The 14,164-nt window shown below is 45.6% G+C and overlaps 1 protein-coding gene across 6 annotated transcripts in view, besides 8 other annotated features; it reads left to right on the top strand.

Annotated features, from left to right (window-relative positions):
• Nucleotides 983–1,092: an enhancer, noted in NCBI's record as "active region_26933". NCBI's record gives its function as "activates an Ori minimal core promoter by ATAC-STARR-seq in GM12878 lymphoblastoid cells {active_cell/tissue: GM12878}" and the evidence as "EXISTENCE:reporter gene assay evidence [ECO:0000049][PMID:35858748]".
• Nucleotides 1,403–2,132: a silencer, noted in NCBI's record as "silent region_18873". NCBI's record gives its function as "represses an Ori minimal core promoter by ATAC-STARR-seq in GM12878 lymphoblastoid cells {active_cell/tissue: GM12878}" and the evidence as "EXISTENCE:reporter gene assay evidence [ECO:0000049][PMID:35858748]".
• ESYT2 (extended synaptotagmin 2) overlaps nucleotides 1,946–14,164 on the top strand; it is a 98,513-nt gene continuing 86,294 nt past the window's right edge. For 4 of the 6 annotated variants that reach the window (XM_024446846.2, NM_020728.3, NM_001367773.1 and 1 more), the window contains exon 1: nucleotides 1,946–2,366. In XM_024446846.2, coding sequence (XP_024302614.2) covers nucleotides 2,037–2,366 — 330 coding nt within the window. In that variant the 5' untranslated portion in view covers nucleotides 1,946–2,036. Of the gene's footprint in view, nucleotides 2,367–2,434; nucleotides 3,274–12,785; nucleotides 12,890–14,164 lie in introns of those variants that run through there. The other 2 variants (XM_047420659.1, XM_024446847.2) reach the window with 2 other exon arrangements.
• Nucleotides 2,223–2,322: a silencer, noted in NCBI's record as "silent region_18872". NCBI's record gives its function as "represses an Ori minimal core promoter by ATAC-STARR-seq in GM12878 lymphoblastoid cells {active_cell/tissue: GM12878}" and the evidence as "EXISTENCE:reporter gene assay evidence [ECO:0000049][PMID:35858748]".
• Nucleotides 2,373–2,562: a silencer, noted in NCBI's record as "silent region_18871". NCBI's record gives its function as "represses an Ori minimal core promoter by ATAC-STARR-seq in GM12878 lymphoblastoid cells {active_cell/tissue: GM12878}" and the evidence as "EXISTENCE:reporter gene assay evidence [ECO:0000049][PMID:35858748]".
• Nucleotides 2,653–2,702: a silencer, noted in NCBI's record as "silent region_18870". NCBI's record gives its function as "represses an Ori minimal core promoter by ATAC-STARR-seq in GM12878 lymphoblastoid cells {active_cell/tissue: GM12878}" and the evidence as "EXISTENCE:reporter gene assay evidence [ECO:0000049][PMID:35858748]".
• Nucleotides 2,783–2,982: a silencer, noted in NCBI's record as "silent region_18869". NCBI's record gives its function as "represses an Ori minimal core promoter by ATAC-STARR-seq in GM12878 lymphoblastoid cells {active_cell/tissue: GM12878}" and the evidence as "EXISTENCE:reporter gene assay evidence [ECO:0000049][PMID:35858748]".
• Nucleotides 3,103–3,172: an enhancer, noted in NCBI's record as "active region_26932". NCBI's record gives its function as "activates an Ori minimal core promoter by ATAC-STARR-seq in GM12878 lymphoblastoid cells {active_cell/tissue: GM12878}" and the evidence as "EXISTENCE:reporter gene assay evidence [ECO:0000049][PMID:35858748]".
• Nucleotides 12,880–13,039: an enhancer, noted in NCBI's record as "active region_26931". NCBI's record gives its function as "activates an Ori minimal core promoter by ATAC-STARR-seq in GM12878 lymphoblastoid cells {active_cell/tissue: GM12878}" and the evidence as "EXISTENCE:reporter gene assay evidence [ECO:0000049][PMID:35858748]".

The following is a 14,164-nucleotide window of genomic DNA, read 5'->3' as shown; positions in this document are numbered from 1 at the left end:
AGGATTTTTTTTTTTTTCTTGAGACGTAGTCTTGCTCTGTCGCCCAGGCTGGAGTGCAGTGGTGCGATCTCGACTCACTGCAACCTCCGCCTCCCGGGTTCAAGTAATTCTCCTGCCTCAGCCTCCCGAGTAGCTGGGACTCCAGGTGCGCGCCGCCATGCGCGGCTAATTTTTTGTTATTTTTAGTAGAGACGGGGTTTCACCATGTTGGCCAGGATGGTCTTGATCTCCTGACCTCGTGATCTGCCCTCCTCGGCCTCCCAAAGTGCTGGGATTACAGAATTTTTTACGTGGCTTATGTTTATGCAAGTCTTTGTAGGATGTGATCCTACAATTTTCCAGTAGAGGAAAGCTGCAAAAGAAAGGCTCAGGCTCCTTTCTGTGTCAACAAAGCAATTACTTGCTTTTGTGTTGAGGCTTAGTTTTGAATGAAAGGTGGTGTTAGGAGCATTAACCGGTTGCATATTTACAATCTACATAATATAATTTGTTGCTGCAGCAAACCAGGGACTGTGAAGAGTAAGAAAAGGGAAACCACTTCCATTCCTTGCTTGGGGTTTACTGCCCTTGCCTGGAGTTGAGAGTTTAGACTCTGCAATGTTTTACATATGTGATATAATCTCCACATACATATGCACACAAAATTATGAAGACGCAGGAACGAGGGGAGACAGATTCCTATGTAAAGGTGACCCTGCTTCTTCTGGGCATTTGTTTATTCATTCAGTACCTGCCAGTGCCCTACTCTGTTACAAATTCAGTAAAAATTTCCTTGGAATTCACTGAATATGCTCAAAAACAGTCAAGTAGGATGTTCTTTGCTACTGTTTGGCTTGGAGTTTCCTTGAAAGAAACTACAGAACAAATATAATTAACTCGATTGAATTCACTGGAAAGTAAAGTGATCAATAGTTGTGTTTTTGAGTTAACTGAAAAGTGACCTCAGGAATCACAGGAAAGGCCCAAAATTAGTCGTTTGAAACAGCTATTCATAGTTGGCCACAATATTAACACCTTCGGCGAAGCTGCGTGGTGCCCGGGGTGGAGTTCCCGAGTGTCAACAGCGTCCCTTGGGCGCTTGCGGTGGTCTTTGCCCGGCACTACCAGACCCCTCAGGGAGGACTTTTGGGATTAAAGGCATCTTAAAAGCCAACTGAACTGTGTGAGAGTTGTCAAGGTCACAACGGAGTCGTTTGTGTTTAAAACCCTGACAAGCAGGGTGGGAAGGGCCCCAGAGGCAGCGTTCTCACGCCGGAATGCCCGATAACAAGACCGTCCCGAGAGACTCCGCAAAAGCCACAACCTTGCACACTGGCTAGGCAACCTCACACCGAAAAATACCGGAGGACTCCCGCCAGCGGCGCCCGTCCGACCTCCGGCGGGCGGCGCCCTCTCACCCGTCCTCCTGGCCGCAAAATGACCGCAAACAGGGACGCCGCCCTCTCATCCCACCGCCACCCCGGCTGCGCTCAGCGGCCGCGCACCCCCACGTTTGCCAGCAGCTCCCAGAGGCGGTCAGCCTTTGGGTTTGACGACGGCAACTTCCCGGGCCTCGGCGAGCGCAGCCACGCACCCGGAAGCCGCCTCGGGGCGCGACGCCGAGCCAAAACCGCCCGCGGGCTCCGAGGCCACAGGCAAGTGGGGAGGGTGCCCCGTGGGGCTCGAGGGGACGCAGGCACGCCCAGCCCACGCACCGAGCACTCTCCTTTCCCGTCCCCGGCTCCCGCCAGCCGAGACACAACGCTCGCGTGATGACGTCGTGCGCCTGCCCGGCCCACTCCAGTAGTCTCCGACCCGGCCCACGGCCCGCCCCGCGCGATGACGTCAGTATCCACCCCGCCCGCTCCCGGTGACGTGCCAGCCCCAGGCCCACGCCGCTCCCGCCCCGCGTGATGACGCCACCGTCCCGGGCGGAGGCGGGCGTGCGGCGGAGCCGCGTCCCCTCAGAGGGGCGCTGGCGCGGGGCTGAGCCGCCCGGGATCAGCGCGAGCACCCAGCCCGCCTCGGCCGGGAGGGCAGCGCGGCACTGCGGGGCGATGAGCGGCGCCCGGGGCGAGGGCCCGGAGGCGGGCGCCGGCGGGGCTGGGGGCCGCGCGGCGCCTGAGAACCCCGGGGGCGTGCTGAGCGTGGAGCTGCCCGGGCTGCTGGCGCAGCTGGCGCGGAGCTTCGCGCTGCTGCTGCCCGTGTACGCGCTGGGCTACCTGGGGCTCAGCTTCAGCTGGGTTCTCCTCGCGCTCGCGCTGCTCGCCTGGTGTCGCCGCAGCCGCGGCCTCAAGGCCCTGCGCCTGTGCCGCGCGCTGGCGCTGCTGGAAGACGAGGAGCGCGTCGTGCGCCTGGGGGTGCGCGCCTGCGACCTGCCCGCCTGGGTGAGTGCAGACCCCTGCCCGTCCCGACCCCTGACCACCAGTCCCGATCTCCCCTCGTCCAGGCAGGCACTCCCCTCCCCGCGACCTGCCGCCTGGGTGAGTGCAGACCCCAGCCCTGCCCCGGCTCCCGCCTTCGTAGTCCCCCACCCACCCCGGTCCAGGCAGGCGCTTCCCTTCCGCCTGGGCGAGTGCAGACCCCAGCCCCGGCCCCCGGGCCGGTTCCTGCGACCTGCCAACCTAGGTGAGTGCAGACCCCGCCCCGCCCCCCGGCCCCGACTCCCAGCCTGCTGGCGACCTGCCCGCTAGGGCGAGTGCAGACCCCAGCCCCGCCCCGGCCTCCGGCCCACTCCCTGCGAACCTGTCCGCCTGGGGCCGCCGCCCGCTGCTCGCCGCTCCCGCCCTAGTCCTGAGTGCTCCGTGCCCTCCCTCCGTCCAAGTCGGGCGTCCCCTTCTCCGCTTCCCCGCCCGCCCAGGCTCCGGGTCCGGGGCGCGTCTGCCCTCGTGAAGCCTCCCCTCGCCGTCCCGCGCGGCTTTCTCGGAGACCCCTCTTCACAAAGCCCGCTTCCCTCCCCCGGCCTGCAGACCCCGAGCGCCAGCGGCAGGTACCGGGCTTGGCGCCCCCTCTTCGGCCGCGGCCCTGCCCGGAGCGCGCGCTTCCTCCTGGTGCCGCCCGCGGGGTCTCCTTAGGGGCCTGAGCGGCCGGTTCTGCTCTCAGAGCGCCCAGCGCGATTCTCGTGCGCATTCCCAAAGCCCTGCCGGCCTGGAAATGCTCCGGGTGGCTTCAGCTTTTCCTTCTCTCTGTTTTTTAAAAAACGTAATGACAGCTGGTGGGGGAGAAGTTAACTTTTTCTTCTACCGGGAGAAGACGCACTCGTGTCTTGGTTGTTTCTGACGCATTTCAAGGGCAGTAAGTGTCTCTCGAAAGATGTGGAGATATTAGATAATTGAAAGATTGTTTCAGTTTTTTTGCAAGTATAATTGTGAGACTGAGCATTTTTATATGGGATCGACCTGAATCCAGTGTGAATGTGTGTGTGTGTGGCAGGAAGTTTTGGAAGAGTTGCAGCAATAACAAGAGTCATGGTATTATTTTATTTTTAACCCGGCAGTTCTCTACCTCGTATATTTATGGACTATAGACACGAAGAGTTGGCTTCAAATCTTTTTCTTGTCATTCCCTAATTCTTTCTTAGCCATGACTTGGCTTCACAGTTTCACACTGCAAGAAAGGATTTTAATGATTCTTCCATTAGGCTTAATATAAACTTTGGGGTGAAGGTGACCAGCAGTGGGTTTCGGAAGGGTCATTTTCTCTTAGAGGAGAAAAGTCCCTGTTTCCAGTCATGAGACACCTGAGAAGTAAGGCATGACACAGATGGCAAACAAGAATTAGAAAGGAGGCGTGCCCAAGACAAGAAGAAGGTAGTAGATGCTACTTTGTGACGTCATATTGCAACTGGAGTAAGAATATAATGTAAGGAGCTTGGGAATGTACAGTTCTGCCGATGCGTGGTGAGCATGAGGGAGTCATATTTGGAGAACCAAGGTAACTGGCATGGTGCAGCTTTTAGCTAGCGGCGGGAAAAACCGAGGGGTGTGTAGAAAAAGGAAGTTAAGAGGAACCGAGGTGGGGAAAACTAAGAACAGAGGAGGTGCACTTTGGAAATGGAAAAGGACTTTAAAGTGACGTTTTGTGTCTATATTACACTAAGATGCATAATACTAAAAAGTAGCTAAAAACAGAGTCCATTAGCATCCATTGCTATGTTATATTGATAACATAGCAATGTTATCAGTGCTGAAATTTGCAGGAAGTGATGATGCTGACTTTCATAGATACTTGGTTATTGGCTAATATCAAATTTGCTTGTTAAAAATCTTTGTGAAACACAGATTTTCTTTTTCTTTTCTTTTTTTTTTTTTTTTGAGACAGAGCCTCTCCCTGTTGCCCAGGCTGGAGTGCAATGGCGTGATCTCGGCTCACTACAACCTCCGCCTCCAGGGTTCAAAAGATTCTCCTGCCTCAGCCTCCCGAGTAGCTGGGATTACAGGCGTGCACCATCACGCCCAGCTAATCTTTGTATTTTTAGTAGAAACAGGGTTTCACCATGTTGGCCAGGCTGGTCTCAAACTCCTGACCTTGTGTTCCGCCTGCCTTGGCCTCCCCAAGTGCAGGGATTACAGGCGTGAGCCACCGCGCCCGGCCACACAGACTGTACAGATGAAATTGCTGCCCTATTGAAGAACTGAAATTTTTTTTTTTTTTTTTGAGACGGAATCTCGCTCTGTTGCCAGGCTGAAGTGCAGTGGCACCATCTCAACTCACTGCAACCTCCGCCTCCCGGGTTCAAGCCATTCTCCTGCCTCAGCCTCCCGAATAGCTGGGACTACAGGCGCACACCACCACACCCAGTTAATTTTTGTATTTTTAGTAGAGACTGGGTTTCACCATGTTGGCCAGGATGGTCTCGATCTCTTGACCTCGTGATCCACCCGCCTCAGCCTCCTAAAGTGCTGGGATTACAGGTGTGAGCCACTGCGCCCAGCCTGAAATTCTTTAAAAAAAAAAAAAATACAAAAGTAATTTAGCCAAAGATTCTTTTCAAGTTTTTAATCTGTGTGACTTAAACTGATGAACTGTGGTGTTCACCTCATGAAGAATTTATATTTTCTCCAGAATGTTTTACTTGTTTATTCCAAATTTGTACTTGAGCTCATAATCCCACATGTGTAAACTTCAGTGTGCCTAGGATGCTTAAGACGCTTCTTGAAGGATTCACATGAAACTTGACAGTGATTATGTTGACAGTTTTAGAGAGATTTTAAAAATATCTTTTAAATTATACTTATGTATCTATTTTGTGATATTTATTAAAAGTGTAATATACTTTATTTTCATAATAAAACCAGCAGGTTGCATGGTCTCGAAGTGTGCCTGAAATTCTGCTGCGCGGCAGGGGTGGTGGGGGTGGTCAAAGCACATCAATAATAGAAGAAACTATGAATAAGAAAAGTTAAGATTTCAGTATTACTTGCACTTTGGGTTTGTTTTTGTTTTTTTTTTTTTCTAGAGATGAGTTCTTACCGCGTTGTCCAGGCTGGTCTCAAACTTTTGGCCTCGAGGCATCCTCCCACTTAGACTTCCTAAAGTGTGGGGATTACAGGTGTGAGCCACCATGCCTGGCCAATATTACTAGTACCTTGATTTTTACCATACATACATTGGTGCTTGGGGTTTCTGAACTTTGGACTGGTATTTTGCCTTGAACAAGATGTATCTGTACATCCCAAAGGCTGTACTTGTTTTCATAGTGTGTCGTTGACAACCGTGAATTCATGGCAGAGTGGAAACATAGGAAAACATGAATTAAGGAGATACTAATTTCCTCACCTCACCTTTGTATATATTCACTGACAGCTTTTCTTCTTACTGAGTAAAAACTGAAGCTGGATATGGAAATGAGATAAGAGTATTAATACTTTGAGAAACTATATGTACTGTTCCTGATTGAGGCTATTAGGATGTGACAGATGGCTCTCACTTAACTGTGATAATTCTGTAAGTTTGGTCCTACAGCTTTAATATAAACAGTGTTGTTATTCTTCACTTCTTTTCCCATGAACAGTTATGTTCCAACTGCTTAGGGGAAAGGCCTGGCAGGCTGGATGAATTGAGGACAGGGCTTTTTGTTGTTTAAGTGTCTACCCTGTGGTAATGGGCCCTGGACCATTAGACTACCCTGGGTGAAGAAGAGAAGATTTATTTATTTATTATTTCATTTATTTATTTATTTTTGAGACGGAGTCTCACTCTGTTGCCCAGGATGAAGGGCAGTGGCATGGTCTCGGCTCACCGCAACCTCTGCCTCCCGGGTTTAAGCGACTCTCCTGCCTCAGCCTCCCAAGTAGCTGGGAGTACAGGCGCCCGTCACCACGTCTGGCTAATTTTTGTGTTTTTAGTAGAGACAGGGTTTCACCATGTTGGCCAGGCTGGTCTCAAACTCCTGACCTCAGGTGATCCACCAGCCTTGGCCTCCCAAAGTGCTGGGATTACAGGCATGAACCACCGCGCCCAGCCTTTTTTGTTTTTTAAAGAGAGGCGGTTCTCGCTGTGTTCCCCAGGCTTGAACTCTTGGGCTCAACTCTTGGGCTCAAGCGAACCACCTACGTGAGTCTCCCAAGTAGCTGGGATTACAGTTGCATGCCACCATGCTCAGGGCTGTGAGGAAGATTCTTGAAGAGTTTTTATAGAGATTAATAAGGGCAATTTTTCATTACTATTTTTATTTATTTGAAAATATTATCTCTTCATAGGATAAAGTCTGACTCTATCCTGCTTTTACTATTGCCAATAAATGCTGATTGTATGGCTGCTATGGATAATACTGTCACGGATAATACTACTTAACTGTTCTGACAGTTGGTCTTTTATTACCCTCATACTTGGATTATTGAGAATTAAAGCATATTAGCTTCCTTGGTTATGTTGTTCTGTACTTTTGTATACAAACTTTCTCTGGGGAGAGCTTTCTTCCCATTGCCCTTCTGGGAAGTTCAGGAAAATTTAACTCTAGCAAAAATATGGTATGTATAGTCTAAGAACTAAATGAACAGAAGAAAATAATGCACTGTGATCTCATGTAAAGAAAGGGCAAATATTTTTTTATTCTCAGTGTTAATCATTGACTTAATACTTTAATAAAATATTGTGAAGACTTGTAACTGAAAATAGTTGGCATAGCTAATTCAGGAGCCACAATTTAGCTATTTTAAACAAGTGCTTCTTCAGCACCTGAATCCGAGTGGTCATGTGGTTGAGGAAGTGTTGGAGTCCTCATCGTAGCTGCAGATAGGATGAGGATGCTGCTTGGGTTTCTTGTTCACACCCACACTGCGGCTGAGACACAGAAGGGAAAGGATGTGACCGTTGTTGCTTCAGTTCTGTGGTCTGAGAACCTCCTTCAGTTAGAACATTAATGCCCCAAGATGGCTAAAAATAAAGCAGTAAATATCAGGTTTTTAGTTTAAGCTAAAAAATAGATTTAAATTTAGGATATATGCAATCCATCAGCCTGTATGTTGTGGATTTAGTAAAATTTCTACTTAAGATTAATATTATTATCATTCTACATTTAAGGATGGGAGGGTATAGAGCTAGGACTGAAATATAAATAGTTTATATGGATATATACACTTAAAACATAATATATTTTATAAGTACGTATTCATAAATGTAAACTTCCATCCTGTGAAGATCAGTTATGGAATAGTGTTATTGTTAGACCTAATGAACCTATGATCGTTTCTGTAGGCTTTCATGATTTCCACATTGGTCACAGCCTTTAACCTTGAAGTAGACATTCTGAATATACTAAAAACCATCAAACTGTTTACTTTAAATGAGTGCATTGACGAGTATGTGAATTATGTCTCAATAGCACTGTTAAAAAATATAGACATCAGGGCTGGGTGCGGTGGCTCACACCTGTAATCTCTGCTCTTTGGGAGGCCAAGGCAGGTGGATCACGAGGTCAGGAGATTGAGACCATCCTGGCTAACACGGTGAGACCCCGTCTCTACTAAAAATACAAAAAATTAGCCGGGCGTGGCGGTGTGCGCCTGTAGTCCCAGCTACTCGGGAGGCTGAGGCAGGAGAATGGCATGAAACTGGGAGGCGGAGCTTGCAGTGAGCCGAGATCGCACCACTGCACTCCAGCCTGGGCGACAGAGCCACAGTCCGTCTCTAAAAAAAAAAAAATCCAATGTCTTTTTTTTTTTTTTTTTTTTTTTTTTTGAGACAGAGTCTCACTCTGTCGCCCAGGCTGGGGCACAGTGGCACCATCTCGGGTCACTGCAACCTCCGCCTCGCTGGTTCAAGCAATTCTCCTGCCTCAGCCTCCCAAGTATCTGGGACTACAGGCGCACACCGCCACATCCAGCTAATTTCTTTTGTATTATAGTGCAGACAGGGTTTCACCATGTTGCCCAGGCTGGTCTTGAACTCCTAAGCTCAGGCAATCCGCCTGCCTCAGCCTCCCAAAGTGCTAGGATTACAGGCGTGAGCCACCATGCCTGGCCTGAATTTCTTTTAATAATGGATGAAAAGGTGGTCAGTTATAGTGCAAAGTGAGGTACACCTTTGCTTACGGAATTCTAGCTAAAACTGTAAAAGTTTTTAAGGAATATTGTTCTAACTTAAGTTTGGGGGTATTTACATTTTAAAGGAGAGTTAATGAAAGGGTTAGGTATATGAATTTTAAAAACTAGGTAAATATTTTTAACTTAAACCTAATAGTACTTTATTTTTTGAGCTGGAGTCTCACTGTGTTACCCCAGGCTGGCCTCGAACTCCTAGGCTTGAGGGATCCTCCTGCCTCAGCCTCCTGAGTGGCTGGGACTACAGGTGTGAATCATTGTACCCAGCTCTAATATTACTTTATTTTTATTTATTTTTTAATTTTATATATTTGAACATTTTTTATACTTGTAGTAGAGCCGAGGTCTTGCTATGTTGCCCAGGCTGGTCTCAAACTCCTGGGCTCAAGTGATCCTCCTATCTCAGCACTTCTGAAGTGCTCTGATTACAGGTGTGAGCCACCACCTCGGGCCTCTAATAGTCCCTTAAACACGGATGCTATACTATATTGGCTTAAACAAATATTAATTTTAATTGCATAGCAATAGAAATCATGCTTCAAAAATATAAAAAACCGAAATCTGTTTTTCCGTGAGTTATTCCAAAGTCTTAACTGTGATTCAAGGTATCAGTATATAATCATCACATATGTTTGAGTAGTTTAGCTTATGGATTGGTTTGTTTCATACTGGGTACATTCTATCAGAACATAATTTTATCATGTATTATAGAATACATTGTGGTCTTTTGTCGTCTCTTGCATTTTGTTATGGTTTGGCAAGTCATTATCTTTTTTAGTTTTCATGACGATTCTGTCTCAGAGGAATTTTATTTCTTCATTTAGAGATGTAAGGACCCACTCTATGCAGATGATTGTGCCAACACAAGTGTAAGAAATCATCCTGTCTTCATATTTACACTCTGCTCAGAGTAGTTAGAAGAAGCACCTGGGAGGCGGGCTGTGGTGATGGCTCCAGTGTCACGGTGGCTCAGAAGAAAGGAGCAGGGAGGGTTTGATGGTAACTAAGGGGGCGTGTTATAAATTTACGGACATGCTAGGGAAGAGATTCTACTCTTATTGAAGGGCATGGCCTTACGTTCAGTGGCAACAGCGCGAGCGGCCGTGTGGAGGACAGTTGCAAAGGCAGATTTCTGGGCCGTCTCATCTGGAGGGAAATGCATGGAAGTTCTGATAGGGTTGTAACTCCTCCACCTGGTAGAAGGCTGCACTCAGCTTGGGACTTACTCTGGGCCCAGCAGTGAGGAAAGGAAGTGGTCCCACTAGACCCCAGCCCAGGTCCCCATGACCTGGGAGGAGTAGAAGTGCTCCTTCTGGATGGCTGGCCCAGGCCCTCAGGGCAGTTCTGATTTACAGGATGCAGGGACGTGGCTGGGATTACTGTCGTGCTTTTAAGACAGAGTTTGGACATGATGGGGGTGAAAGTAGTGATGTGTTCAGATCTAAGCTTGTGAAATCAGAAAAGGAAAGCTACTGTGTAATGCAGTATACTTCTATTCTTGCTGTAGCTACCAGAAAACTCACAGCCAAAATTATTGCTGGATTGTTGGGCCCTGTACTACTGTAATAGCCGGGAGTACCCATCACACTTTTCTTCAAATAGGCGATCTTCTTTTACTCTCAATGATCTTATTGTTCCTTGAACACTGAGTCACCTCCTGTTCTTTTGGAATTGGGTGGGGCATAGTTCTTACACAGATGGTGAATATGTTAGTAGTTGTCTTTTGCATGGGATCATTTTTTCCATAAAGCATGTTTTATTTATGGAGGTTTTTCCAGAGTCTTTCTTCCTGTCACTAATTTCTTTTCTTCATTTATTTTTCTTAACTGTTTTTAAAGTTCTATAATGTTTGTTAAAGCAAACTATTTATTTTTGTGAATTTTTTCCTGGATCGCATTTTAAGAAACTAGTCCAATTTATATGTAAGCATTAAAAATGAGTCTTGATGAATTTATGGACATTTATTAGGCATTTGCTATGTTCTAGGTACTGTGTTAGGTGCTAGTGACACAAAATGTGTGTAAGACAAGGCCTTAAACTCAGAAATTTACCAGCCGGCAATAACACAGCAAATCTGTTTAATCCTAGCATTAGTCATAGTATGAATTGGTGGGTTTTTTTCAATTATTTTTATTTATTTATTTTTTGACACAAGGTTTTGCTCTGTTGCCCAGACTGGAGTGCAGTGGCACAATCATGGCTCACTGCAGCCTCAACCTACTGGGCTCAGTCACCCCTCCCGCCTCAGCCTCCCCAGTAGCTTGGGCTACAGGCATGCGCCACCACGTCTCACTAATTTTTAAAATTTTTTGTAGAAGGGAGGTTTCTTACCCAGGCTGGTCTTGAACTCCTGGGCTCAAGCGATCCTCCTGCCTCTACTTCCCAAAGATCTGGGAGGGAATACAGGCGTGAGCCACTGCACCTGGCTGTTGTTATTTTTTTATCTGATAAAAGTATTATTTTTATTGTGTTCAACATGTTTTGAAATATGTATACATTGTAGAATGTGCTAAATCAAGCTAATTAACAAATGCATTATGTCACGGGCTTACCATTTTTTGTGGTGGAACACTAGAAAATCTACTCTTAGTGACTTTTTCAAGAATATATTATATTGTTGCTAACTATAGTTACAGTGTTGTACAATAGATCTCTTGAACTCATTCCTTGTAATTGAAATGTTTTATCCATTTGTTAATATCTCTCTAGACTCTCCCCCATTCTTTTAGTAAAAATAATACATGTTCACTTTTTTAAAATCCAAGAAAAAATATATTTAAAAGATCATCCATAATACCAAACCATCCATAATGGTAGTTGCTAGTAAAGTATAAATTGAATGGGGTTTAATGGATTACGGCAGTGTCTAGATGAAAGTATCAGTACAAAGTAAGAAGCACATCCCACGTGCACTTGTGTATTGCAGCAGCAGTGTCCTTTCGGATAACAGCTTCAGTTTTGTGCTTGGTGATTGCGTGCTGGAATTAGTGATAACCACACCAACAGCAGATGTGGAAATACTAATATGATGGTTTTCATTATGCTTTCTTTATTACTTGTAAAATTGTCATTGAAACTGAGTTTCTTTTTTTTAATTTGTTCAGTTACACGGTGAAGTCCCCCTTTATCTTTCTATATTTAATGAACATGTAGTTGTATTTTTCTTCATTTCTTATGTTATGGCTAGACAGGTTTCAAAAACATTTTTTTCTGATTTAAAGAAGAAAGTATGCTCATTGAAGAATAAGCTTTGGAGGAGAATAAAGAAGAAAAACGTTACCTGCAATTCTACTAACTAGTGATAACATTACATTGGCAACATTTCCGTGGATTTTGTTAATGTTTTAATGATATGTTTGGATATATGGGTGTGTATAGTATCCTCCTTTCTTAAATGCTATATTATGGATAGTATGTTATTCTTCAGAAATATGACTTTGACTATTGCAGTATCATCTGTCTTATGAAGCTACCAGACTTTATTTAAATGATGTCTGATAGACATTTGAAAAACTAGATTGTGAGATATGATATAATGAGAAGAGTTAAAAATAGAATTTGAGATATTTAATTTTCTGCTCTTTTTAAGTTATGAAAACGTATTTACTTGAGCTATTTATTAGATCTGTGTCTAGGATATATGAATTATTTTTGAACTCATTAGACATGATAATTTTGTAAGCAGAAGTCTGGCCTTGGAAGGCAGTGTTTGTTTTTGCATGGTATGTTGTTAAAAGACAGAGGATTTATCCCTATCTCTTTTTGTCTGAATAACCTTTGGAAGAAAGCATTCCCTCCATAATGAGTCACAACTTCAGATTGCTTTTCTTCCCCTGTGCTGTGTTGGTATATTAAAGTTTGCTAACAGTTACAAGTATTTTTAACTGCCATGGTTTCGTGTAGCACAATTGAGTAATGGCTACTTTGAGGTTCCCATGATGATTTGTTGAATTGGTGTGTCCTTGTCTGGACATGACCAGTCATGTGGCCAGGGCCCGTGCGAGTGGGGCTGCCCTTCTGTGGGGTGTGCTGAGGTGTGGCCACCGGCCTCTGGTTAGCTTTGAGGCTCCCACCGTCTCGCAGAGCCCACAGCTCAGGCTCTGGCTCTGGTGGGTGTGGGTTGCGCCCTGAGACCCACCCCTTCCTAACTCCCTGCCCTTGGGTGAGTCAGGTCCAACTCTTAGAACCTTGTTTCCTCTTTGGTTTGATGGGGGTTGAGCCTGACTCTGTGCTGTGGTTGTGAGGCTGGAATGCGGAGAGGCCAGTGAACACACTGGACATGGGCGGGCAGGGAGGCATGTCCTCGGGTCAGCCGTCTGAGTCACAGGCCCAGAGATGCCCAGCTGTGACCAGTGCTCCGCTTGCAGGCAAGTCCTGGTGTGGCCTTTGCCACCTCCCTCCCCCACCTCTGCTGAAATGGAACAGATGAGCCCTGGGGTTTTTCTTTGTTTCTGTTCCACCGTGGTTTGTTTACGCTGTTGCTAAGAATTTATCTACCATAATGCTTTGTTGTTATTAACACTTGCAAGTATGTGTGCCGTAAAATTTCACTTTCTCTTCCTCTCTGTATATCCCTAAAATAATATCCAAGGAGCCTACAGTGGCACTCCTCTTCCTTGCCTTGATTTGCTCTGTATCTTCCTTAAAACAAATATTGTTCCAAGGACATGGCTAATCTTTCTTGACTCCACTTCCAGGAGTCATCCTGATGCCATAGATAATGATAGTTAATTTTACATTTTGTACATATAACATTTAATTATTCTAATATTCATTAACTTCCTTTTGTGAATAAGTGCTGGTTAGTGACTAAAAAGTGGGGATTTGAAAGTGCACATCCTATTTCGGGGTCAGTTGTAATAGTTTAATTTTAACGTGTATTATATGTGGAGTTGTTTCCTGTCTGAGGGATTGATATGTTTTAAGTTTCCCAGAGTAAGGTAGATCTGTAGAAAATAAATCCAGTGATTTGGGAGAACATTATCTAACTTCATGCCATAAATATTATACTGGAGTACCTATTATATGCTAGTTTTTGATTATGCTGCTCACATTTTGAGAACCAGTATCAAATTGCTAAAATTATTAATCTGAATGATACTTTCACCTTCCATTTTCTTATGAAACTTTGTTATATATTTGTTAAAGCATTTAGTTTAATCTGTAAACCAAAAGTATCTGAGACAAGTCTCAATTAATTTAGTATTTTATTTTGCCAGGTTTAAAGGATGCTGGTGACATAGTCTCAAGACATTTGCCCAAGGGGGTTGACCTGTAAGTTTTAGGGATACATAAGACACCAATCAATACATGTAAGCTGTACATTGGTTCAGAAAGGTTGGACACCTGGAAGTGGGTACATTGGTTCAGAAAGGTGGGACACCTGGAAGCAGGTACATTGGTTCAGAAAGGTGGGACAGCTGGAAGCGGGTACATTCGTTCAGCAAGGTGGGACACCTGGAAGCAGGTTGGTGTGGGGAGCGCTCCAGATCATAGCTGGACTCAAAGATTTTTCTGATTGGCAATTGGTTAAGTTACTGTCTAGAGACCTGGAATCAATATAAAGGAATGTCTGGATTACCTTGTGGAGACCAAGGTTTTATTGTACAGATGAAGCCTCCAGGTAGCAGGCTTCAGAGAGA

The sequence above is a fragment of the Homo sapiens genome, chromosome 7 (assembly GCF_000001405.40).
Source record: "Homo sapiens chromosome 7, GRCh38.p14 Primary Assembly".
NCBI lineage: Eukaryota > Metazoa > Chordata > Mammalia > Primates > Hominidae > Homo > Homo sapiens.
This window is presented reverse-complemented; position numbering and strand designations above follow the sequence as displayed.